Below are 26804 nucleotides of genomic sequence, written 5' to 3'. Positions count from 1 at the left end.
GAATGTTAGAATTCAAAATAAAGAGATAATTTCAGCCAGTGTTGCCCAAACTTCAGCCGTTACATATACTACTTAGATGAATTTGCCATATATGTGCCATCTGTAAAGCACTATTTATCTAATGTTTTCCTTTAAATAATTTAATGTTTTTTTCCTTAGACACAATTATTTGAAAAGGAAACTGTATCAGTCAGTAAATGAAAAACCATGAATAAAAGGTAATCATAAAACTATATACAGTAATTACAAATGTTTATCCAAGTTCCACCTAAAACCACCTCAGCTTGAGATATTTAACTGATCTTTTTCCTGGCAATTCATGCGTGTGTGCGCGCATATGCATGGGCGCGCACACACACACACACATGCACACACACACCTTGTTATATTGCTGTGTACTTTCCATCAAGCATCATCATAAGAAAACATTTTCTTTAAAGTTTTAGTACTATTAAAAAGAATTCCTTTTAGTCCTGCATGTATTGACCTGAGATGTCTATGGTATATAAAAGTGAAAAAAATGCAACACACTCCCAAATATAAATGAAAGTACTTGTATAAGTATGTGAATGCACACATACGCGTGCATGTTTATGTCTGTGTATATGTATGTATAGCATACATACATACATATGCTTGTATGAGTATTCTAAATACTCATACAGTGTAGAGAGAACACTTGAATTGTTAAATTACTTTTGAGAGGTATTGGAATGACTGGGAAGAAGGTTTGCTTCTTCTTGTTGGCAGTGAGCATGGAAAAAATTAAATAATGAAGATTATAAAGGAAAAAACCCTCAGAAACCACCAGAGCACTCTTTGGGAAACACTGATTTAGTTCAGCATGTCTCTTTATCAATAAAAAATCTGAGGCATTGAGTAGCTGAGGTGTGGAGTACTCTTAATCTAGAATATATTCTTTAAGATAGCTAACTGCTATAGCTTACAATACCCTGAAACTCCTGCCTTACCACAATAGAAAGTTTCTTTCTTCCTTACATTATATATAACTGCCTTCTACATGGTGTTTCAGGGACCCAGACCTCTTCCATTTAATGGCTTCATTGTTTTTCAGTCCCCACAATCTTTCAGTGGATCTTTTGAGTCCAGTAGGGCGACAAGGAAGGGGATGGAACAGGAAGGATAGTGTGAAAGGTTTTAGAGGATGGGAAGTAATGTTATGTCACTTCTTTCCATGCCCCCCTTGGCTAGAACTCAGTCTTATGGCCTCACTTAAGTGCATGGCAGATAAGGAAGTGCAATCTAGCTGAGCCAACTCCCCAGAAAGGGGAGGAAAAATGTGGCAATCAGAGATCGCTAGCATAGTCCTTGCTCCAAGGGAATTTGTAATCTTTGGATTGAATTTATTAATTTTGGCATTCCTTGAATTCAGAAGTCTATTACATGAAACTTAGGCAGTAAGAGATCTGTATACATTTATTTTTACACAATGTATTGTAATTCCTACTAATGTTAAGAATTAAACCATTTAAATCACTTTTAGACTTAATTCAAAACACATAGGTTAGTAAGTTTTGCTTTCAACCGTAATAAAACACATCTGGTGATAGGTTTTAGCTCTGGGGCCACAAAGGAGAGTTGTGAAGAGGGTTGCCAGGAGGTATGGAAAAGTCTTAAGTGGTCATAAGATCACTTAGGGGGAGAAAACAACACTTGAATTTTAAATACAGTGAAAATATGTCTTCAGAAACTATAATTGCCTACATCAACACGATCTTATATGAAGATTCTGTGATTTTGGAAATGAAATTTTTGCCTTCATATTTCTTTTTTTTTTTTTTTTTAGTATTTATTGATCATTCTTGGGTGTTTCTCAGAGAGGGGGATTTGGCAGGGTAATAGGACAATAGTGGAGGGAAGGTCAGCAGATAAACATGTGAACAAGGGTCTCTGGTTTTCCTAGACAGAGGACCCTGCGGCCTTCCGCAATGTTTGTGTCCCTGGGTACTTGAGATTAGGGAGTGGTGATGACTCTTAACGAGCATGCTGCCTTCAAGCATCTGTTTAACAAAGCACATCTTGCACCGCCCTTAATCCATTTAACCCTGAGTGGACACAGCACATGTTTCAGAGAGCACCGGGTTGGGGGTAAGGTTATAGATTAACAGCATCCCAAGGCAGAAGAATTTTTCTTAGTACAGAACAAAATGGAGTCTCCCAGGTCTACTTCTTTCTACACAGACACAGTAACAATCTGATCTCTCTTTCTTTTCCCCACATTTCCCCCTTTTCTATTCGACAAAAACGCCATTGTCATCATGGCCCGTTCTCAATGAGCTGTTGGGTACACCTCCCAGATGGGGTGGCGGCCACGCAGAGGGGCTCCTCACTTCCCAGACGGGGCGGCCGGGCAGAGGCGCCCCCCACCTCCCAGACGGGGCAGTGGGTGGGCGGAGGCGCCCCCCAACCTCCCTCCCAGATGGGGCGGCTGGCAGGGCGGGGGCTGACCCCCCACCTCCCTCCCGGACGGGGCGGCTGACCGGGCGGGGGCTGCCCCCCACCTCCTGGACGGGGCGGCTGCCGGGCGGAGGGGCTCCTCACTTCGCAGACGGGGAGGCTGCCAGGCGCAGGGGCTCCTCACTTCCCAGACGGGGCGGCTGCTGGGCAGAGGGGCTCCTCACTTCTCAGACGGGGCGGCCGGGCGGAGACGCTCCTCACCTCCCAGACAGGGTGGCGGTCCGGCAGAGACACTCCTCAGTTCCCAGACGGGGTCGGCCAGGCAGAGGCGCTCCTCACATCCCAGACGGGGCGGCGGGGCAGAGGCGCTCCCCACATCTCAGACGATGGGCGGCCAGGCAGAGACACTCCTCACTTCCTAGACGGGATGGCGGCCGGGAAGAGGCGCTCCTCACTTCCCAGACTGGGCGGCTGGTCAGAGGGGCTCCTCACATCCCAGACGATGGGTGGCCAGGCAGAGACGCTCCTCACTTCCCAGACGGGGTGGCGGCCAGGCAGAGGCTGCAATCTCGGCACTTTGGGAGGCCAAGGCAGGCGGCTGGGAGGTGGAGGTTGTAACGAGCCGAGATCACGCCACTGCACTCCAGCCTGGGCAACGTTGAGCACCTAGTGAGCGAGACTCCGTCTGCAATCCCGGCACCTCGGGAGGCCGAGGCAGGCAGATCACTCACGGTCAGGAGCTGGAGACCAGCCCGGCCAACATGGCGAAACCCTGTCTCCACCAAAAAATGCAAAAACCAGTCAGGTGTGGCGGCGCGCGCCTGCAATCCCAGGCACTCCGCAGGCTGAGGCAGGAGAATCTGGCAGGGAGGTTGCAGTGAGCCGAGATGGCGGCAGTACAGTCCAGCCTCGGCTTTCACAACTTTGGTGGCATCAGAGGGAGACCGGTGAGAGGGAGAGGGAGACGGGAGAGGGAGAGGGAGAGGGAGATGGGAGAGGGGGAGGGGGAGGGAGATGGGAGAGGGGGAGGGGGAGGGAGAGGGAGAGCCTTCATATTTCTTATAGAGATTTTCCTCTTCCTGTTTATATTCTGGATATTACTTTAAAAACTATAATCTTTAAAATTATGCCATGCTTATGTATATATTATGCCATGCTTATATATATATTACTGGTTTCTTAATATGTTTCTTTTTCTCCTTAGTGTAAAAACACTTTATAAAATATAAATCACCCATATAAGTTACTATTATAAGCTAGTTTAAAGGGAGGAAAAAATAATGAGATACCAAGTAATGGAATGCCAAGTTTTTGTTAGAATTTTGTCCTTGGTAAAGAGGCAGCAGTTTCTCATAGAATCATCAAATTGGAAGTGCCTCTAAATTCTATTCATTTGACTTCTCTTAGAAAGCTCTATGTAAAAAATTATTCCCAGTATTCACAAGAAAAATGTCAAATCCATCCTTTTTTTCGTTTCTCTTAATTAATGTGTTCTGCTGTACTTAAGACCCATTCTTCTAAATCTGTTCTGAGTGGAAAGGGAAAAGACTACATGTATGAATAGAATAGGCCTTTTAGGGTCATTTGGTGTTTTTAGTAGAATATGTCATTCATTTTCTTTTCTGTTAAACAGTTGACTGGAACTCTTTAGTCTTTCACTATTGACTCACCCGAACTTTCATTGTAAATATGATCATTTGTCTCTGTAACCCTAGAAGATGTTGGGTTTTTGTACATTCCATAAGGGCAACGGATTGTGTGTGTGTGTGTTTTCAAGTCTCTATTATGGTACTTTGATATCTGTGCTTTGCAGATGGTAAAAGGACACAGCAGTCAATATTTAATGAACATGGCTGAAGGACTAAACCAAGTTCACAAACTAAATACAAATTGTCGTGAGGGAATGCAATGAATGTTAGCCACAGGTTTAGTGCTATGCATGTGTTGAAGACCGCAAGTTCTAAATTTTGTCTTCTTAATTTGATGAAATATTTTATCCCTCAATAATATTTAATGTGTGTGTGTGTGTGTGTGTGTGTGTGTGTGTGTGTATTTTTTTTGTCTGCCTGGTCCTTTGTTGCTAAACATGCCATTTCAGCAGTCTGCTTTGGGTTTGTGTTTGAGATCTGTTTTAATTGTTGTGGCCTGTTGAGAAAGAACACAGACAGACTGAACACAAAACAATTCAGTGGTGCAAAATGAGGCCTAATGATAGGATAGCAATATATGTACAAACAGAGGTTCTTTATAATTGAATTGAGAAAAGAGGTGGGAGAGGGTGTCATGTGGCACACAGTAATATAAGCATGTGGATGGCAAGAGAACTACTTACGGAGAGATTCAATTCCAGCCAACACCCCATCTGTCACATCCAAGTAATGTTAATTTCACTTTATTTGCTGTATAGTTTTGTTTGTATTTAATTTGTGAACTTTCTTTGATTTTATAGTTGTATACAAGCTATAAGTTTAAGAAATTTCTACTGAATTTATGTTTGCACATAGTTAAATGATACCAAGTTACTTAGGTATAGGTGGCACTTACAAATTCAGGATTGGAATTAAAGTTCAAATCCTGGATTATTGTGTGACTTTGGGCAAGTTAATTATACTCTCTATGTATTGATTTCTCCATCTGCAAAATGGGGGTGACAGTAATTCTCATGTTATAATGCTGTGAGGATTCACTGAGATTATCCACATTAAGAGGCTAATGTATTGCTGGTTTATAGTAAGTGTTCTATAATTGTTAGCTATGGACATGATAATATTCTTTTTTTTAATAATAAAAGTCCATAACTATTCAAGCTTTACAGACCTGGAGTCAGGTAAAAGCATTACTGTTTTTGAGGGATTTTAGTTCAATTCTGGCTCAGCCTCTACAATCCTTAGCCAGTCTCATAGCCTCTCAGTGCTCAGTTTCCTGCAACTTCCTAGGGTTACTGTGAAAACTGACAGTATATGCTACTATTTGGGGAGTGAGTTTGTATTAATCAGGGTTCTCTAGAGAAACAGAACCAATAGGATACATATAGATGTATATGAGGAGATTTATTATGGAAATGGGCTCACGCAATAGATTATGGAGGCTGAGAAGTCCCACAATCTGCCATCTGCAATGTGGAGACACAGAAAAGCTAATTGTGTAATTCAGACCAAGTCCAAAGGCCTGAGAACCAGGAGTAGGGGAGGAGGCTGCTGGTGGAAGCCTTGGAGTCTGGAGAGCCAGGAGCACCAAAGTCTGAGAGCAGGAGAAGATGGACATCCCAGCTTTAAGAAAAGAGTTCGCTTTCCCTTTGCCTTTGTTTGTTCTATTTGCCCCCTCATCGGATTGGATGATGCCCATCTGCGATGGCAGAGGTGGATCTTCTTTACTCACTCAGCTGATTGAAATGCTAATCTCTTCCAGGAACACCTTCACAGACACCTGGAAATAACGTTTTACCAGCCGTCTGAGTATCCCTTAGCCTACTCAAGTTGACACATGAAATTAACCATCACAGAGTTCCATGTGTCAGACACTGTTAAGCACCTATGAACATTATCTTTAATCCTGCTGATAGCTTGGCAAAGAGAGCAGCATTGTCCTATTTCTACGGAGAAAGGAACTGAAGCACAGAGAGAAAACTGGGATTGCCCTAGGTCGTATGGCTTATAAGTGGCAAAGCAGAGGCTAGAAGTCAGGATCTGCTTGTCTCCAAAGCTCATGCTCCTTCTCTGAGGTCCTCTTGCAATGCAGACATGATTCACCCAGGAGATTTCCTCTGCCACAAGACCCTGGGAACAGCCACATCAGGAATAAAATTTGTGATGTGGGAAAGGGACGAATCATTTGGAATATTGGAGGGACACCCTGGCAAGCCTTTCCCTGTGTGTGGTGGGGACTCTGGATGCCTTGGGAAAAGGACAAGAGGGTGTCCTGAGATAAATGACTTCTCAGATCACCTGAGACCAGCCTGGTTATTTGTATACATTTTTTTCTCACTTAATTTCTTTAGATTAGGATGGATATTTGTATTATTAAAATACAGAGTATTCTGGAAATTAAAGGAAAACAGTGTACCTTGTAAGTCTTGCTGGGGGACAGAATCTCATCCATCTAACTCCGAGTTCTGCCATTCAGTTGATGTGTAGTTTAAAGCAAGTTATATTTCATCTTAATGCCTCATTTTCCCATATACGCTGGTTTACAATATATAAAATGGTCATTGCTTACTTCCATTTTCAAGCTTTGCAAAGTGTGCAAGAGAGGACACACACACACACACACACACACACACACACACAGAGTATTGCCCATGGTCCTTTGCATACTGGGTCAGCACACTGTTGAATTAGTATCCACTAAGTGTCAGGTGGTCTTCTTAGCTCGGCAGATTCATAGAGGATTCAAAGGTGAGTCAGGGAAAGTCTCAGCTTTATCATGATTTTCAGTCTAGTAAGCAGGGCAAAGGCTATAGAATAGAAAGGAAATATAACACAAAAAAAAGTAATGACCTTGGATATTTCCCCTTGGGCCACAATTTTTTTTTTTTTTTGAGATGGAGTCTCGCTCTGTCACCTAGGCTGGAGGGCAGTGGTGCGATCTTGGCTCACTGCAACCTCCACCTCCTGAGTTCAAGAGATTCTCATGCCTCAGCCTCCAGAGTAGCTGGGATTACAGGTATTTGCCACCAAGCCTGGGTAATTTTTTTGTATCTTTAGTAGAGATGGGGTTTTCCCATGTTGGGCAGGCTGGTCTCAAACTTCTGACCTCAAGTGATCTGCCTGCCTTGGCCTCCTAAAGTGCTGGGATTACAGGCATGAGCAACTCCACCCAGATGGGCCACAATATTAACAATAGCATATAGCATATGCCATGAATCATGAAGTATTTTCTTACTGAAGAAATTCTAAAGAATAGTCTAAATGGAGGAGAAACTGTGAGTTCCTTCTACGGTAACTGCTCAGAAATCATTTCCTAAAGCTTTTATTCCTAAAGGGCCCCACTGTGGAAAAGCTTTAAAAAGCTGGCATGTCAGGAGTTAAAGTGGGCTCGGGGAGAAAGTGCATGGGATAGCATGCCTCACTCAGTAACTCTCTGTTCCCTATGGTGAATCCTTTATCCCTTCCAATTCTTTTCTTTTTCTTTTTTCTTTTTTTTTTTTTTTGAGACAGAGTCTCACTCTGTTGCCCAGGCTGGAATGCAGTGGCACTATCTCGGCTCACTGCAACCTCTGCCTCCCAGGTTCAAGCTATTCTCCTGCCTCAGCCTCCCAGGTAGCTGGGACTACAGGTGCGCACCACCATGTCTGGCTAATTTTTGTATTTTTAGTAGAGATGGGGTTTCACCATGTTGGCCAGGCTGGTCTTGAACTCCTGACCTCATGATACACCCTCCTTGGCCTCTCAAAGTGCTGGGATTACAGGAGTGAACCACGGTGCCCAGCCCTTCCAATCCTTTTTTTCCGCAGCCCTGCCTAACCTCCCAGGGTTACCTTCAGATGTGGCTAGAATAAGCTGCCACTATATATACTGTATATGTGTTGTGAAAAGCAGAATTGTCTTTATAAAGATGGCGCTAAGCATTTCTGCAGCAGAATTGTCTTTATCTATAAAGACAGTGCTAAGCATTTCTGAGTTCTGGACCCATATTTTAACTTTCACCTGGTTGTTCAATTGTCACTCAAACATTTCCCAGCCCTGCCTCCTCGCACCTGATTGTCCTTCTGTGTTCCTTCTCATGATTCATGGTGTCCGTGTTTCCTGGTCACTCAAACTCAAAATCCGTTAGCCCCCCTCAGTCCTTCTCTACTCTTAATCCCCATATCTAAGTGGTCACAAAGTTTTGTGAACTCTGCCTTCTAAATTATCTGGTGTCTTTGCTTTTCTTACTTTACTGCCACTGACTTGGTTTAGAACTTCATCTCTCACCTGAACTATTACGGCAGTTGCCCAGCCAGCCTCCCTGTCAACACTCACTCTTCACCTGCCGTTAATCATTATATTTTTAAAAACACACCGCAGTACTGCACTCCTGATTCTCCATGTAAAACTGCTCAGAATAAATCCAAACTTGTAAGGCTGGTGCAGAAGCATCTTCCTAATGTGGCCTCAGACAGCCTCTTTGGTGTCATTCCCTACAAGCCTCCTAAAGCACCCTGAGCTTCAACCACAGTGAATTTCTTTCTGTTCCCTAAATACTCAGCACTTTGTTGTTTTGCAGCCTGAAACTCTCTCCATTATCTCTGTAGGAAAACTCATACTTATCCTTTAAAAATAAAATCAAAATATCACTTCCTTCCTGAATCTTCCCCATCTTCTTGTGGCCCCATCACTGCCCCACTCTGTAGGATACCACAAGAGAACATTGCTTGATCATTACTAGACTGTGAATCATCCCTCTTCCCCTTCCACCCATCATATTATGAAATCCTCTTGAAGAGACCCTCAACCCTCCTTTCATAACTTTGAAACTCCAGCACTCAGCATGGTGCTTGTTGCCCAGTTGGGTTGGTGTCCCATAGTATTTGCTGGCAGAATAAATAAAAGAATGAGTGATCAACTTACATGTGAACCTGTATCTGCTAGTTTCATAACAAGATATTTGGAGAAAGTCAGTCCAAATATTGTTAGGTTGGTGCAAAAGTAATTGCAGCTTTTGCCATTGCTTTTAATGGCAAAAATTACAATTACTTTTGCACCAGCCTAACCGTACAGGATATTAGGAGATTATATATCACAGAGTATGAATTTAGGGGACATAAGTAAAATCAAGTCATCCCAAATTTTCTTATATCTATTTATCCACATCTGACAGCTGCTTTTAGAAGCCAGGCCAGGTGGTACATGGAGATATGGGTGTTTTGAAAGCAGACCATGGCCTGCTGCTCCTAGAGCTAGACAGTTATTTACTAAATACATGCAGATGGGCCAGACATTCTTCTAAGCACTTTGCAAATATTAACTCATTTAATTCTCATAACAAACCTAGGAAATAGATACTATTATTATTCCCATTTTACAGATGAGGAAACTGAGGTCAGGTGGAATGTGTTTTTTCTTTGCATCTACTGTTCATTTCACTGAGATTTCTCTTCCTGCCATTCCTCTTCTGAAATGTAAGCCATTGTTCTCTGTGCTCTCTTAGCATCTTTTTTATATGTAGTGCTCACGCCTGTAATCCCAGCACTTTGGGAGGCCGAGGTGGGTGGATTACCTGAGGTCAGGAGTTTGAGACCAGCCCGGCCAACCTGATGAAACCCTGTCTCTACTAAAAATACAAAATTTAGCTGGGCGTGGTGGCACACGCCTGGAATCCCAGCTACTTGGGGGGCTAAGGCAGGATAATTGCTTGAAACCAGGAGGCAGAGGTTGCAGTGAGCCATGATTGCACCACTGCACTCCACTCCAGCCTGGGTGACACAGCAAGACTCTGTCTTGAAAAAAAAAAAAAAAAAAAAAAAATATATATATATATATATATATATATATATATATATATACTACCCACGTCATTACATGATAGTTGCTATGTCAGTCTGTTCCACAAGTAAACTTGGGCACATTACTTAATTTTAGTTTCTTTGTCAGTAAAATGGGTGTAGTAATCCTTACCTTGCAGAGCAGCTGTGAGGATTAAAAGCACCTGGCCCAATTCTGCGGCTACAAGCTCAGGAAATGAGCTTGTCCTATTGTCTTTTTGTCATTCTTCACACAGTTGTTGACACATGACAGGTGTTGTCCTGTGAGAAACTGAAGGGAAGGGAGAAAAGGAAAACCAGGACAACCCAAAGTCAGGGCCACTAAGGGCGCAGAAGAGTGTCAGCACTTGCAAATCTCAGAAGGTGGCTTACAATTCAGAGAAGACCGTTTGGTTTGATCATCAGTAATGTTTTCGATAACAGCCTTAGCAGGCTATGAGGTGGGAGGCAGATGCAAGTGGTTAAGGAGGGAGTGGGTGGTAAAGAAATGAAAACTGAGGGTGCACTGTCTTCTCTTTTAGGAACAGAGGAGAAGGGTTAGAGTAGCAGCAGGTGAAAAGCATGCTTCCCGGTTTGGATAGGAGAGCCCTGAATGCGTCTGTAGGCAGGGTGGGAGAAGCCCTTAGCAGAGAATGACCAGAGAGGATGTCCTTCCTTCTCCCTGCTCTGGTGGAAAGGCTGCTTAGAACCCCTTTTGTCCATGGTGGGACTTGGCTCCATGAGTCCTCTTACTGCTTTGCATCTCGGGCATCTCTCACAGTCTAGCTGGCTTTGGGTAATGTACCCAAAATGTACCCTTTCAGCTCAGGGCCTGGGTAATGTACATAACTTGTCTCAGCTGCAGTTTCCTCATCTGTAAAATGAGGAGAATAATGTGTACCTCACAGGGATATTGTGAGCACAGAATGAGATAACATGTGTTCAGTGCCAACGATAGTGTCTCAACCATTGTGTCTTTTTAACTTTTCTCTTAGAGACAGGGTAAAAGAAAAGCAAAAAGGGTAAAATCTTAGCATTTTCTTGAACTGCAGAAGGAAGAATTTGGGGATGTGCCCCTGGATAACTGCTGTCTCCTCTGTAAAGCAGAGAGGGAGTGAGTCCACCGAGGCAAAGGGAATGGGAAGTTTGTAGTTTTGAGGGCACTGGTAGTTTGAGGCCGCTGGGTTCTCTTCACTACACAAGGGCTGATGAGCAGCAGCGAAAGCCTGGCTGGGCATAGAGATGGCAGTTAGGATTGTGTGTGTGACCTTCCATAGCCAGGCATGAAGGGAATAGGGAAAGGTGTGGACGGAACTGGGGACTGACAAAACTGTTGTATTAGTCCATTCTCACACTGCTATAAAGACATACCAAAGACTGGGCAATTTATAAAGAAAAGAGGTTTAATTGACTCAGTTCTGAATGACTCGGGAGGCCTCAGGAAACTTACAATCATGGCAAAAAGGAAAGAGGCACATCTTACATGGCGGCAGGCAAGAGAGAGAGAGCGAGCAGAAATGAGTAAAAGGGAAAGAGCCCCTTATAAAACCATCAGATCTCCTGAGAACTCACTCACTGTCACAAGAACAGCATGTGGGAAACTGCGGCCATGATCCAATCACCTCCCACTAGGTCCTGCCCTCAACACATGGGGATTGTAGGGATTACAATGCTGAGATGAGATTTGGGTGGGGACACAGAGCCAGACCATATCAAGTGTCAAGGGGGTGTGGGGTTCTAGTGTGTGCATATGTTGGGGGATATAAATATGCACTGGGGAGATGGCAGCCAGTCCTTTAGTCAGATGGGAGGTGCTGATGGCCCAGGTGAATGAGGCAGGTGTGGAAGTCCTGTGGTGACAATGAGGATGCAGAGCAGGTTCCTGGGAGTGGGGTGGGGACCCCAAAGCTTGTGGCTAGAGCTGGGGTTTCAGAACATTAGATAAAAGAATTTTCAGTGACTAAGGCCAAGGGATGGCTGGCATCTCAAATACGATGTTCTTCATTTCTCTACTTTTTCTTCTATTCTTTGTCATATGAATACCTACCAATGAAGAAAAAGTAACCTTAGTCTTTATGCAACTTTTGTGTGGAATTCATCTGTTAATATTATTCAGCAAATATTTTTTATTTCTACATTGTGTTTGTAATAATTTTTAGTGGCTGCATTATATTATCTTTGCACATACTGCTTTGTCTTCTTTTAGATTTTTCCCTAGGATAAATTCCCAAGTGTGGGATAACTATGCTTAAAGGTGTGGATGATTTTGGAGCAGGGAGTCTTGATGGGCTGTTAGTTAATTGCTGCAGGCAGATCTACAGCAGGCAGGGAGGGCAGGCAAATGGGGAAGAAAATTAGAATATTTAATAATAGACTCTGAATGGAAGCTTTCTGTGAATATTTTAAGTCCACCTCACATAACTCTCAATTCTGTGTGCTGCCTCTACTGGAGGCATTTACCCCAGTGAAGGGGAAAACAGAGCTGGCTGGAAGTTGCATGTGTGATTGAGTAAATGGAATTTTGCTTGGCTTGGTCTTTGACGCTTTCTTTTTGGGGACTATCATCAAGAACATGAAGAAGTTGAACAAATTGTGTATCTGGCAGGGGCAGGTAGCAATGAAAGGGAGTTTTTCTGTTCTGGAGTTATGTATTTTTTTGAAATAGAGTCTTACTGTGTCACCCAGGCCTGAGGTACAGTGGCCCAGTCTCAGCTCACTACAACCTCTGCCTCCTGTGTTCAAGTGATTCTCATGCCTCAGCCTCCTGAGTAGCTGGGATTACAGGCGCACAGCACCACACCTGGCTAATTTTTGTATTTTTAATAGAGATGGGGGTTTTGCCATGTTGGCCAGGCTGGTCTCGAACTGCTGGCCTCAAGTAATCCACCCGCCTTGGCCTCTCAAAGTGCTGGGATTACAGGGATGAGCCACGGCACCTGACCCATTCTGGAGTTTTTTTGGGGGGGCAGGACAGAACAGTTTCATCTTGATAAATTAAAGGATTTAATAATTTTGATTACAATAATCACAGTGTTAGTATTTTGAATAATTTTAGCAGTTAGTGGGAAACATGATTTAGATAATTTTAAAGAAATTGCAATATTTTGAATCAGAGCAAAATTTCCTTAACAATATTACTGTTAATTTTTTTATGTCTTATGATTCTAATGTTTCTCCTTTTTTTCTTTTAACAGAAGAAATACAGAAAGGGGTTTATTGATGTTTCAAAAATCAAGTGTGTGGAAATAGTGAAGAATGATGATGGTGTCATTCCCTGTCAAAATAAGTATCCATTTCAGGTGAGCTGGTGTATTTTTGTGGCAGTGCAGTGCTGGGCTTAGTCATGTTTGCTCTTTGACATTACAGTTTCCTGTCCTTGCTTTGCTGGCTGATTTGTAGGTTCATTTGCCACTTTAATAGTTGTGACTTTTCTTCATGAACTGTTTAAGTCTTTGTGGAAACATTTTCTGATTCTTAAGGAGTTGGGGCTAAGACTGAAAAGTGAGGTTGAAGTGTTCCCTATGAATCTGAGAAACTGAGAAGTGAAAGGCTCAAGTGGAAATGAGATTAAAAGGCTGCTTGTGATGAAAAAAATAATATTAGACATATATTAATTAAACTATGCTTCTTCGGGGTAATCATGTTATTTTTTTTCCCGACAATGGTTCTGTTGCATAAGGGAGGTAAATATCTCATTATTCTCATTTATGTCTGAGGAAATCAGTGCTCACCTGTTAAATAGCTTCTCCAAGGTCACCTTGTAAATGAAAAGTCTGCCAAGCACACACACGCGCATCTCCTCTCCAGAAGAGGAGGGTCCGGCGTCCTGAGCTACTCCGCATTCCTGCCAGTATCTTGGTTCCCACCTGCCTTGAGAACTCAGGAATGTGGAGTTGGATCCTGATAATCTGGAGCTCTCAGCCCCTCCCCAGCACCTCACCACTTCCTTCCCTGCTCAAGGATGTTTTTATGCTCTCCTTGAGCAGTGAATGTCCCTAGTGAAAGTCGCCTTTTACCCATGGCTGTGGTCTCACCATGTCCTGAAAGGAAAGTTGCAAAAGTCTTTTTCAATGTGGTGGAATTTTTGCTTGTTTTTAATTGCTCTTATGAAGTTATCAATTACGTTGGAATTATACATTTACCAGTTTTGGGGGATGAAGATGTTTGGGAAGCAGTGAGCCAAAATATCCAAGCTCCTGGCTTATTCTCCGCTAGAGTGGCAACATCACAAATGGAGGAAGGGCTACATTTAATTTTCCTTTTCCCTGTTCCTTATTTTATAGCTACCATTTCTCTGAGTGAAGGACAGGGACAGTAAGTGCTTAGAGAGGTGACTCTGAGGCCAAACTGCCTGATTTGCTTACTGGCTATGTGAGCTTGTGTAAGTCACTTAACCTCTCTGTGCCTGTTTCCTCTCTTAAAAAATGGGAATAATAACAATAATAGTACTCATTTCATGGGGTTGTTGTGAGGATTAACTGATGTGATATATAAATAGCTTTGACATATAATCAGAGCAAGGTAAGTGGTAGTTGCTATTATTACTATTGCTATTCTCTTACTACTGCTGCTGCTATTAATATTACACCTAATATTACACCTACCACCTGGATCTAGAAGTAAGATAAATTTAAACCTTCTTCTTAAGTATGTTTAATGCATATATAATGGAAATTTAGCAGAGAACCATTCCTACCACACTTCTTTTTTTTTTTTTCCTTTGAGATGGAGTCTTCCTTTGTCACCCAGGCTGGAGTGCAGTGGTATGATCTCAGCTCACTGAGACCTCCACTTCCCAGGTTCAAGCGATTCTCATGCCTCAGCCACCCAAGTAGCTGGGATTATAGGCATATACCACCATGCCTGGCTAATTTTTGTATTTTTAGTAGAGACAGGGTTTCACCATGTTGGCCAGGCTGGTCTCGAACTCCTGGCCTCAAGTGATCTGCCTGCCTCAGCCTCCCAAAGTACTGAGATTACAGTCGTGAGCCACTGCACCGGGCCTCCTACCACAGCTTTGATGGCTATTAGACATGCTAGGGATTGACAGCATTGGGGAGCTGTGGCTGTCATGATTCTGGACCCAGCATTAGGATTTTTGCTGTCCAAGAAAGAGAGATTCACTCTGCAAGTTTTGGGTTGCTTTTAAGAATGATAATACAAGTAGAACAGAACGCATTCCATCCCTGAACTACTAAAATTGTTGAGATGAATAAATATGAGAAAAGTTTGAAAACAATCTGAAAAATTAATCAAGAAGGGATAAGCTTGAGCTTTATACAATTTAAAGCAGCATGATTTAAAAGGTGAAAAATACCCTCTCTTATTATAACTTAAGTATAACTAAGAAAGTATAGATCCTAGTTTCACATTTTCATAGTGAAATTTTACATTAGGTTCAGATGCAAAGTGAAAACAATAAAAGTAGAAGTAGACATTTTCAAAAGACACTGGGAGAAGAAAGTAGGACGGATGGAGAGAATGGTGGGGAATCCACACCAGCTGCCTAGATGGGATGGTTGCTCCTTCATGCTTTTCTAGATGAGTCATTCTGATGGCAGCTGGGAGATCCCCAGGAGCTGGCATGTCTTCCCTGGGCTTCAAACCCAGATCTGTCTACCTTTTGTCTGTGCTGTTTCTCCTACACCACACTATTAAGTCTATGGAATAAATGAATGAGTGGATGGAAGATATAAATAGGAGGGTGGGTAACTACCAGTGGGTAGTGTTACTGAGGGAGAGTATTCCCTCCTTGTTTAAATGGTTTCTGCACTTGAAGTTTGCAAAGCTCTTCCCTCCCAACAGCCTCTGCTGTGGTAGGATGACTCAGCACAAGAATTAAGGCAGAGAGAAACACAGCTCCCTGGATCCTTCTCCCCAAGAGGCCAACATTGTGTGATCTGAGGTTTGCTCAGGGAGATACTGGCCCACAAATACCTCTTCAGCCTGAGATGCCAAAACAGGGTGCTATTCCTAGAAACTTCTCGTAGAAATACAAATGCCCCAAGTTAGCTAGGTAATATATCAAGCTAGTTTTAGTTATCGAAACTCTGAATTTGGATTAGGTTTTTTTTGGTGGGGGGAGGCGGTTAGCTAGTCTAACAAACTTTAAGGAAGTTTCACAGGCTCACGGTACTGACACGAGATGAGTTTTGTGGGGAAGTTAGACTGCTTGGAGTCTGGAAAGGCAGATTCCAGGAGGGGAATAGTCAAGGGATATTTGGGGGTTAAATATCCTACTCATATGACTTAACCTCAGCCACTTTGGTTTTGTCATTTGAAAAAAGAGGATTCTAACACTAAGAAAGAACTGGATTGCTGTATGGATGATATGAGGCAGTGCATATAAAGTGCTTAGCCCAATTGTGGGGACTCAGTAAATTATTATAATAAATTAAATTGTTATTACAATACACCACAGGTTTCTGGAAGGTCCAAGGCCCTAGCAGTCTTTTCCAGACATCTCAATGTCAATTCAGAATGACTAGTTCACGGTGCATAGTTCCTTCTGTACAGAGTTGGTTGTGTGGGCAAGCCTGCATAAATGTGAAAATCATGGAGCAAATGAGGAAACACATCTCTTCACATCTCCTTTAGCACTTTATCGCTCTGATATCATGGCTCACTTTCTGTCTTGTAATAAGGTATTTCTATATTTGTCTTAGAAACAGGCTTCATGTCCGATTCATTTTTGTGTCTTATGCAGTTCCAGCAAGGTGCGAATGGTATATAGCATCATTTGTTCTATGGTGTTCACATTACTATTACAGTGCATTTCTGGCTGGTTACCGTGGCTCTCACACCTGTAATCCTAGCACTTTGGAGGCTCAGGTGGGAAGATCACTTGAGCCGAGGGGGTTCCAGGTTGTAGTGAGCTGTAATTCCACCCCTGCCATCCAGCATGGGCAACAGAGCAAGACCCCATCTCTAAGAAAAAAAAAAAAAGTACATTCCTTTGATTTAAATGAATAAGAAGGAATTCTCTATTGAATATGGTCAGTGATAACCATTTATCAATGAAAGAGCTATTTGGTTTTCAATCCAGTGGGTGTGGACGTGACAAAGGGAGGTTTCTAGCCATGTATTAACTTTTTAGCCAGTCTAAACAGATTTCTGCCTTGTGACTGACCATGAAGAATAAAATGAAAAAATTTCTGGCTTAGTTTCCCAGGGTTATCTTATTAATAATATTAGAAATGTTAAAAATAAGACTGTCTAATTGCCCACCAAGGACTACCTCTAAGTGAGGCACTGTGATTAAGAGGCTGGGCTCTGGAGTCTGAATTCTGGCTTTCTGGATTACCAGCCAAATGGCAATGGGCAGGTTAGGCAGTGCAACATCAGGGGACAGCATCTGCAGTGCATGGTGCATGAGTGGTATCTGCTGAAGTTACACAGGAGTGGGGGCCTGGGTAGGCCTTTATTTTCTCATTTATAAAATAGAAAAACTCGTACCTTGATGGCAGGATTAATTGAGTTAAGGTCTGTAAAGCACACAGCACAGTGCTGGCGTAGTCGGTGCTTAATCCAGTTAGCTACTGCAATTATTGATAGTGGCAAAAGGAAACTATAAGAGTGATGCTGAAGGAGTAGTCCATTCATCTAAAATATTATTTAGAGAAATACTGAATCTCTGTTACAGTTTAGTTAATTGGATTGAAAGAAATACTGAGATTAATGAAGTATCCTGGCCTTTATATTTTTTTCTATAAAACATGGTCTTTTGCAAAACGTGTATTCTACTTAATGTAGAAATGAAGAAGTACTTGTGCTTTTGTAAGAAAGTAACCTGGGTTTTCTGGATATGAAGTTATTGACTTTCAGTTATTTGAGAATCATTTATTGGTGTCTGTAGTACCAAGGGTTCTGTGCTAGACAGAAGTGCTGTGTCTAAGTCCTCTTCACCAATTCCATCTTTTGTTTTATTTTAGGTTGTTCATGATGCTAACACACTTTACATTTTTGCACCTAGTCCACAAAGCAGGGACCTGTGGGTGAAGAAGTTAAAAGAAGGTAAAACTCAATGAAATATTACTCTGTATATAATTTTAGGAGATGTAATATTGTTATCATTAAGACAGAAATACAGCTAATGTATCTATTGCATTTGTAATCTCTTAATCTACAGTAAGTGTTTCTCCAAGGATATGCTGTTGTTGTAAGTTATACCAGCATATTGAAGATAACTTTCCTTTTTAAAATCTGATTTTTTTCTAGTAGCATATAGTTTCTAAGAAAAGCACGCTCTCATTTAATGTGTAATATATCTGAAGGTGATAAAGCGCAAGCTTTTATGATAACAGAATTTGGTGTTTTCTTGTTTTTTTTTTGAGACAGAGTTTCACTCTGTCACCCAGGCTGGAGTGCAGTGGTGTGATCTCGGCTCACTGCAATCTCCGCCTCCTGGGTTCAAGCGATTCTCCTGCCTCAGCCTCCTAAGTAGCTAGGATTACAGGCACCCACCACCATGCCCGGCTAATTTTTGTATTTTTAGTAGGGACAGGGTTTCACCATGTTGGCCAGGCTGGCCTTGAACTCCCGACCTCAGGTGATCTGCCCACCTCGGCCTCCCAAAGTGTTGGGATTATAGACATGAGCCGCTGCACCCGGCCCAGGATTTGGTATTTTCTAACAAAGTGCCCATGTAGTCAATATTTGGTGTGGATGGAATGACATATTCATGAAGGGTTTAAATGGATGATTTGTCCTGCATAGTCCTCATTGCTTCTCCTGAAGAACAAAATGGTGGCAGGTTGACTTTTGCATTTATCCATCATTGGTGTAGCAGCAGTCATTTCTGCTAACAAGGGTGCTTCACACACAAAAAAAGAAGAGGTCAAAGAGAACTATAGAGCTTTTCTGAATGCTGAGTCCTGTGATCTAAGGGCGTTCTTATAGTAAACATAGTGTCCAAGAAATAAGTAATGATCGACACTGTTATTTATGAAACATTCTGTAGTTGCTTTTGTATTTCACTATTAATTACTATATCTGTGAATTACAGAAATAAAGAACAACAATAATATTATGATTAAATATCATCCTAAATTCTGGACAGATGGAAGTTATCAGTGTTGTAGACAAACTGAAAAATTAGCACCCGGATGTGAAAAATACAATCTTTTTGAGAGCAGTAAGTATTCATTTTATTCCATAATTATATTGTGCTTAGAATGAACGTATTATTGGTATGGTAAGAAAGTGACATGGTTTTGATTAAGTACAGCACACTTTCTAGTACAGTGAAAATGTAGGGTAGGTGTGTTTTGTAAGAAAAATTATATTTAGTTACAGTGAGACCTTCTCGTGGAATCAGAAGGTCTATTTTGGGAAGCTTTTATCACAATATTGAATCTTGTTCAAAATGAATCCATTGAAAGTGTGAGCCTAATGTGGCACTGTCAGCAGCTTTGAAAAGCATTAATGTTCTTCAACAAATAAACCAAGATGTGGAGCTAGAAACCTCATGTAGCAGTGCATCCACAGTCTGATTAGGGCTGTTCTCATTTTGATGGGGTATAGCAGTATGGATTTCAGTAGTGGCTTCAGTCTGTTAGAACAGTAACATGTCATAATGATACTCACATGTAAATGTTGAGATGAACAATGTCTAAGGTTAATTTTGACACCTAAAACCTTTATAAATCCTGGGAATGAGAGACCCTTAGTCATAAGCTAAAAATACGTGGAGATTGTTAAGTTACTAGTGCTGTAGTAGGACACCCATAGTAATGATTGGATATACCGTTTCCTGCTGGTGCCATGCAGAATGCTCACTGGGTCCATCAGAACTGACAGAGCTTCTGGATATGAGCAGAACTACTACTTGGCAGGGATGCTGTATTATGAACGAGGCCAGATCAGATGACCTTCTCAGTCCATCTAGCCCTCAGTTCTATGAGTCCTGGCACCCTGATTCTCTTGGGATATCCTCACATTAACTTAGCACATTAAAGAGGAAGCCCAAGTTTCTAAGGCTGTTATTGTTCCTTATTTTTTTTTTAATGTCTTAAGGTTTGGTATTAGTGAATGCACAGTCTGACCTGCTGTAAAAAGGGACCCAAAAGTTACAGTGACTTAAACTAGAGAGAAATTTATTTCAGTCTCATGTAATAACCCAGAGGTGAAAGGTGGGTGACCCGGGGCTGGGGGTATTCCTGCAGTGGTTCCTCTGGTTGCTCCAGCTCTAGCAGTCTCTCTCTTCCTGGAAGCAGAAAGAAGGGGGTCAAGGATGCCCATGGGGAATCCTTTTAGGGATGAGATCTAAAAATGGCACACCCCATTTGTACACAGAATCCTTTGATTAGAATTTGGTCCCATTGCCACACCTAGCTGGGAAACATTCTTTATCTTGGGTAGCCATGTGTCAGCCAAAACTCTAGGACTGTGGACTGTAGAGGAATGGACAGCCAAAGCTGATTAATTTCTCAGTGTTGTCATGATTTCAATGTTTGATTCCATGAGCATTATTGAGTGCCCAGTTTATGCAGTGGTAGGAATACAAAGAACTGGCCTGGCTTCAATCCCTGTGGCATTTATTGTGCGTTCAGAAAGGCAGAAATACAAACCAGCTATAATAGCAGTTTTTAATTCTGTTCTAGAATAGAGATACAAGCAGCATACACCAGAGTTGGTCAGAGTGTGCTGCTTGTCTATGTGTTAACTTCCACTTTTCCTTAAAACTACCCATATCTTATTTTTATCAATTATTGGTAGATAGCATTTTAATCTGTTTTTGTTGTTGGCATTTTCAGGTATAAGAAAAGCACTACCTCCAGCACCAGAAACAAAGAAGGTAGGTGGTCTTTAGCTTTTGATAGTTAATCTTTACATTTTAAGCCTTTAAGTCTTAAGTTTTGGTAGTGTTTGTGACTTACTGAGTATGCGGTTTATTCATTGATGTGACACAATTTTTCCCTAGGATCGTCTCAGAAGCAGATGTGCTGTAGCTTATTTCAATTTTTTGTGGTGTCAAATAATACCAATTTAATTGTATGAGATTTTATCATTGGAGATCCTGTTATCATCTGGCATTTTGCCTCTATTTTCACTTAAAGAGTTGTATTAAGAGGAGTGGGATTTAGATAAATATTTCAGTCTTAAGACCACAGTGTGACAAAGAAGTGACTTCACTGATATAATGATATGCCTTTCAGGAGTGGGGTATAGTGGAGGAAACATGCACTTTGGACTCATTCAAGACTTGATCTGATATGAGTGACTTTGAGTGGGTTAATTAAATCATTGTTACCTTAGTTATGAAACAGGAATTATAATACTCTTCTTCATGAGAGTTTGTTGGATTATAGTAAGTAGACTTGAAGTTTCTAGTTTATTCTGTGGTGATGTATGACTCATTTAGTGTTTTGATTCATGATCAGTTTCATATAGAAGACTAAACTTTCAAATGTTATCTTCCTTGTCTAGCGAAGGCCTCCCCCACCAATTCCACTAGAAGAAGAAGATAATAGTGAAGAAATCGTTGTAGCCATGTATGATTTCCAAGCAGCAGAAGGACATGATCTCAGATTAGAGAGAGGCCAAGAGTATCTCATTTTAGAAAAGAATGATGTTCATTGGTGGAGAGCAAGAGATAAATATGGGTAAGTATTCCCTCTATGTGTGTGATATGCAGTGGGTAGGTGGGAGTCAAGTGTTGAGTGAGAAGTAGATAAGTCGTAACTATCGTGTAATGAGACTAATTTCACCAGCCATAAATGGAAGCACACCTTATTACTTGGTAGTAACACAGTCCTTTCTTAGTGGTCACTCAGTAAATGCGAATTGATCAATCACTTCTTTTCAAAAGTTAGAATACATTGGTCTCTTTCTCATCTGATACATGTTTAATGTGATTATTTTGACCTTGAGGGAAATTAAATTTTATATTTTGTCCCCACCTGCCATAAGTAAGTAATCTTAGATTTTTCTAAGAGTTTATTGTAATTTTTTTCTTAGACTCTCTCTCTCTATATATACGTATGTGTATGTGCGTGTGTGTATGCATACACATACACAGTATAATGAAGCCTCTTCTCACTTCTTTCTCTCTCTCCATGAATATATGGAGGAATAAGAGAATATATATATATGTATATGTGTGTGTCTATATGTGTGTATATGTGTTTGTGTATGTATATATAAAATATATATATGTACATGCAGGAAATTAAACAGCAAGCTTTTTTTTGTACAAGTTAATTTAGGATTTAAAGAAAACAGTCCTTTCAACCCTATCATTGATAAATATATGGGCAGATAGGGGTAACTGTAGGGGATGAGTATCTTGCAGGCTTCATAAGCAAACTCTGTATCCTGTGTTTACCTCTGCAGTGCAATCCCACTTATACTCTGAGTTCCAGTGGATGAGAAGAGGAGAACTTTTTGTCCTGCCAGAGCACACTCTTCTTCCACCTGCCCTCTCACCTCCCAGCCCCAGCCCCAATTTCAAGTCACTGTTCCTCAGTTCACTTCTGGAGAAGCAGTGGAAACCTCTAGTTTAGGCGGGGTCCTTTTCTTCTGCTTGATTCCTAGGCATGGTGCATATATGAGTGCTGTTTTGCTGTGCATTATTAACTTATTTGCAACTCTTAACCTTTTATTCCATGTTTACAGGAAGGTTGTCACTGCTTCTCTTTATCGGATGCTGTATAAGATTGATTTCTATTTTTAATTTTTTTTTGTTGTAGAAATTTTCAAGCATCCAAAAAGTATATAATAGTATAATAGAATCTCTTTTTGCTTGACTTCAAAAATTACCAACATTTTGCCAGTCTAATCCTTCCATTTTTTTCTAGAATATTTAAAAGTAAATTCAAGTCATCATGTTATTTCACTCCTAAATCTAAATTCTAAAGACTTAAAAAAAACACCACCATGTCATTATCATTCTTAATAACAGTATTTTAAATAAGATCGTCTGTAGACTTTCCCTTAATATTTTTGTACCTGGAGGAAGAGTACAAATGAGAATCCACATAACATATATCTAAGTATTTAGGAGTTATAAATCAAGCTAGCAAACTTTATCCTCCAACTTGACAAATACCCTTTCATAGTGACAAGAAAGGCACGGTTTGGATTTAGAGCTCTGTGCCAGAATGTTGCAGTGCATGGAAAGCTGGCTCTGGGGGGGCTACCTCTCTTCTTTCTTCCCTCCTGCCCTGGCTCTATCTCTCATGTACCATATGGATCTTCCAACCTGTACACCCACACTCTTACTGCGTGGCTTGCAAAAGCTACCCCGCATCATGGCCACACCTTCAGCCTCAGTGAAAGGGAATGCACATGGCCAGCCAGCACAATTTGTTTTTTAGAAGATGGACCCAGTAGAAGGCCCATGTAGACCTTGGAAATGAGCAGGGTGTTCTGGGGTCCTAGTTACCCAGAAAGGAGCATGGGAACACAGGTCAGAGGGAACACGCACTTTTGCAGAGCTCTCAAAAGTGTGGGGTTAGAGCAAGAGCTTCTCTGGCCCAGGTCTAAGGATGGAACCAATTATGTAATTCCAGTTTCCCCGATTAGCTCTAATACTTATTTTTACTGTTGGTTTATTCAAATCAGGACCCACACACTGCATTTTGGTTAATATATCTCTTATGTTTCTCTTATTCTACATTTTTGATTTATTGATGAAAGCAGGTCATTTAACACTAAAATGAGCCATAATCTAGATGAAACAGATTGTTTTCTTGTGGTGTCACTTAATATGCCTGTGTTTCTTGTATTTCTTGTGAACTGGCGAGTAGAGCTAGAGGCTTGATCACATTAGAAGGTGATCTCTGGATGTCCTACTTTTAGTAATGCTAAGATTGCTTAGTGGTTCAGGTGTCAGACTTGTTCCTCTGTCATAAAGTTCTTCATTGGTATTTACCCTGATGATTTGGGGGTTCATTAATGATTCTTTCTTAGAGTCATTATTTCATTAGGGGTTACAAAATGGTGATTTCCTAATTTTGTCATTCCATCTGCATTTAGTAGTTCTCTAAAGAAGAACTGCCTCATATACCAGTTCATTTAGTTCATGAAGGAAAGGAAAGATGAAATTTGGATTCTTAAACTTTTACTAGTTTTCAGAATAATGAGTTGATGACTGAGCTTTCTCTAGTGATAACAATGGTAACCAACAGTTTATTTTTAGTGTTATTATGGATACTTATATATTTGGTTCCAATCCATTGCCACCATTATTCTCTTTGCTTGAATTGGCCAAATTAGGTCGATGGTGGCTGTTTTTGGTAGAGGATCCTGTTAGTTTTTCTTTCCTACTTTCTGGCTCAGTGAAATGGCTCAAGTTATCTTGTATTTATTTTTCTGGCCAAACTTACAATTTGACATTTTTCTTTTCTTTTCTTTTTCTTTCTTTTTTTTGAGATGGAGTCTCGTTCTGTCTCGCAGGCTGGAGTGCTGGAGTGCAGTGGCGTGATCTCGGCTCATTTCAACCTCCGCCTCCTAGGTTCAAGTGATTCTTGTGCCTCGGCCTCCCAAGTAGCTGGAATTATAGGCATGTTCCACCACGCCCAGCTAATTTTTGTATTTTTTAGTAGAGATAGGGTTTCGCCATGTTGGCCAGGCGGGTCTTGAATTCCTGGCCTCAAGTGATCTGCTTGCCTTGGCCTCCTAAAGTGCTGGGATTACAGGCGTGAGCCACTGCACCTGGACACAATTTGACATTTTTCTAAGGGGGACTGGCTCCTTTTAGTCACAAATGGTATTTAGAGACAGTGGCAATGCTAAGATCTTAACTGCTGCTGGATTGCCGTTCCTTCTGGGCCTTTCTCAGTGCAACAGAGCTACCTGTATGCACACATTTGTGTGTGTGTGTGTGTATTATGAGTTCTTACTAATACTTTAAATTCAAATTTAAGATTATAAGGTTTCTACTCAATTTTTAAATTTTATATGTATATCTGTTTTCTTATGCTGAAAACCTTAGCTCCTACTTACATAAGAGTGCATCTTAAATTGTGATGTGTGTGAAAGTCATTTGGGGTAAAATCGGACATTTTTTGACCTCACATAGGTCTTCTCAGTTCACATTTATTGGGTTATGACCCAAGAATTTGCTGTTTTAACAGGTGCCCCAAATGATACTGACCGAAAGGCCAGGAATTATCCTTTGTGAAACTATTCTATAAGAACTATTGAGGTATTAGAGTGGTGGGTATTTTTAATCCAACACTTTGACTTTTCTCAAGTAATGGTTTCTTTAACACATATCAGCAAAACTGTGAATTCTGGAGAAGTATTGTGGAATGTTGGAGGAGCACAGGAGCTAGTCACAAGTCCAGAGTTTGAGTTCTGGCCCTGTTGCTGGCTAACTTTAGGACCTTTGGGAAAAAAAATCCTATAACCTTTCTAAGCTTTAGTTTCCCCACCAGAAAATAGGTACAATAATGCCTGCCTACCGCAGAATTTTTATGGAGACCAAAAGTGAAAGTACTTTGTAAAATGTCAAGTGAATTACAGATACTGCATTTTGGGGGGTCAGCTAGTCTTTCTTATAATAAGCTTTAAGCAATGTCATGCTTTATTTCAAAAGGCAATAATCTTTCTTTCTTTCAATAACCTCCCAGTAAAGTAAGTTTACCTAAAGTATTTTTCTTATTTCTAGGAATGAAGGATATATCCCAAGTAATTACGTAACGGGAAAGAAATCAAACAACTTAGATCAATATGAGTAAGTAAATGTTTATTTTGTGAATGTGGAAAATCAGAAACTTTTCATTTTCCTAATTATGTAAGGCATTTTGAAGATTAATGGATATCTTTCATGATTCTTTGAAGGGGGTGCTAAAATATCCTTAACTCAATTGCCTGATGTGGTAAAAGACTGAGAATTAATCTCTATAATATATTTTTCCTGAAGGTACTGTGTGAATGGAGTTACATAGGCTTATGTACATAAATTACATAAGCATAATTGAATTGATTTGAAATAAATCACAGATTAGCTGACTTTGAAATACAGATCATGTCCATTCATTCAGGACATAAGCAGAACAGTTTCCAGAGTGGAAATGTTAATAAGAAAAAATTACTGAAATTAATTAGAGTTGACCTTTGTCAGCATTAGTATATTTCCTTTCAATCTTTTTACTATTTTTGAAAAGATAGAATCATGCTTATTTCCTCATACACTTTAATATTCTTTGAAAACATTTTCCTAGCTACATTTTATTTCATTTGATCATAAATTTATTAAATATTTACTGAGATCTTAGCATGTATCAAGCATTATGTATGGCCTTAGAGACATAACCAGGCAGATGGCACGTGGATGTCCAATAATTTATGTAATCATTTCCTTATTTGTGTGGTTTAGGTTGTTTTAGGTACCTTTGCTATATTAAAAAAAAAATGGGATAACGTCTTGTTTCTTATCTTAAACTGGATCTCTAAAATCTATGTGCTGGGCTACAGGCTGTACGTGAACATTGTTAGGGTTCCCAACGCATGCTGTCAAATTGCTTTCCAGATAACTTGTATTATTTATATACCCACTAGCAGTGTGTGGCCAAGTTGTAACGTGAGGCTCATATACATTGAACGCTCTTTTATGGTCATTCTGAGGTGGTGTATTGATGCTTCATTCACTTCCTTGAAAACAATAGCAACAACAAGCTGTTCCTCTCTTCATGTCACTTGCTATACCATAAGTGTACCTTAACATCTAGGAAAGGGTTAACAAGTTCAAAAAGCCACAGCGCTCAGTGGATGTGATCTCTCAAAGTAATTTTAGAAGTAGAAGAGAGTATAAACAATGTATAAATAAAGTAGCATTTCTGCCCTTAAGTCAAATAGATTTTTGGAAAAATTATAAAATCCTTAGAATTAGGGAAGGTGCTAAAAGGTGAAAACTTGGGCCTGGTTTTAAAGCGATAGCGTGGAGAACTGATTGAATTTGGGGAAAGAGGATGCTTGGAAGCCAGATAATCCTTATCTA

General features: G+C 40.8%; 1 protein-coding gene across 6 annotated transcripts in view, besides 2 other annotated features; it reads left to right on the top strand.

The window, feature by feature from the left end:
- The window catches only part of TEC (tec protein tyrosine kinase), a 134056-nt gene that overhangs the window by 80599 nt on the left and 26653 nt on the right, over positions 1-26804 (top strand). For all 6 annotated transcript variants that reach the window (NM_003215.3, XM_047416106.1, XM_011513737.3 and 3 more), the window contains exons 3-8: positions 13054-13158; positions 17791-17872; positions 18864-18992; positions 20614-20654; positions 21287-21462; positions 25473-25538. In NM_003215.3, coding sequence (NP_003206.2) covers positions 13054-13158; positions 17791-17872; positions 18864-18992; positions 20614-20654; positions 21287-21462; positions 25473-25538 — 599 coding nt within the window. The remainder of the gene's footprint in view (positions 1-13053; positions 13159-17790; positions 17873-18863; positions 18993-20613; positions 20655-21286; positions 21463-25472; positions 25539-26804) is intronic.
- Positions 2735-3460: an enhancer, noted in NCBI's record as "H3K27ac-H3K4me1 hESC enhancer chr4:48187797-48188522 (GRCh37/hg19 assembly coordinates)". NCBI's record gives its function as "activates a minimal SCP1, AML or CMV promoter by ChIP-STARR-seq in naive H9 embryonic stem cells {active_cell/tissue: H9 hESC(naive)}" and the evidence as "EXISTENCE:reporter gene assay evidence [ECO:0000049][PMID:30033119]".
- Positions 13482-13983: an enhancer, noted in NCBI's record as "NANOG hESC enhancer chr4:48177274-48177775 (GRCh37/hg19 assembly coordinates)". NCBI's record gives its function as "activates a minimal SCP1, AML or CMV promoter by ChIP-STARR-seq in naive H9 embryonic stem cells {active_cell/tissue: H9 hESC(naive)}" and the evidence as "EXISTENCE:reporter gene assay evidence [ECO:0000049][PMID:30033119]".

Source organism: Homo sapiens, chromosome 4, assembly GCF_000001405.40.
Source record: "Homo sapiens chromosome 4, GRCh38.p14 Primary Assembly".
NCBI classification, from domain to species: Eukaryota; Metazoa; Chordata; class Mammalia; order Primates; family Hominidae; genus Homo; species Homo sapiens.
This window is presented reverse-complemented; position numbering and strand designations above follow the sequence as displayed.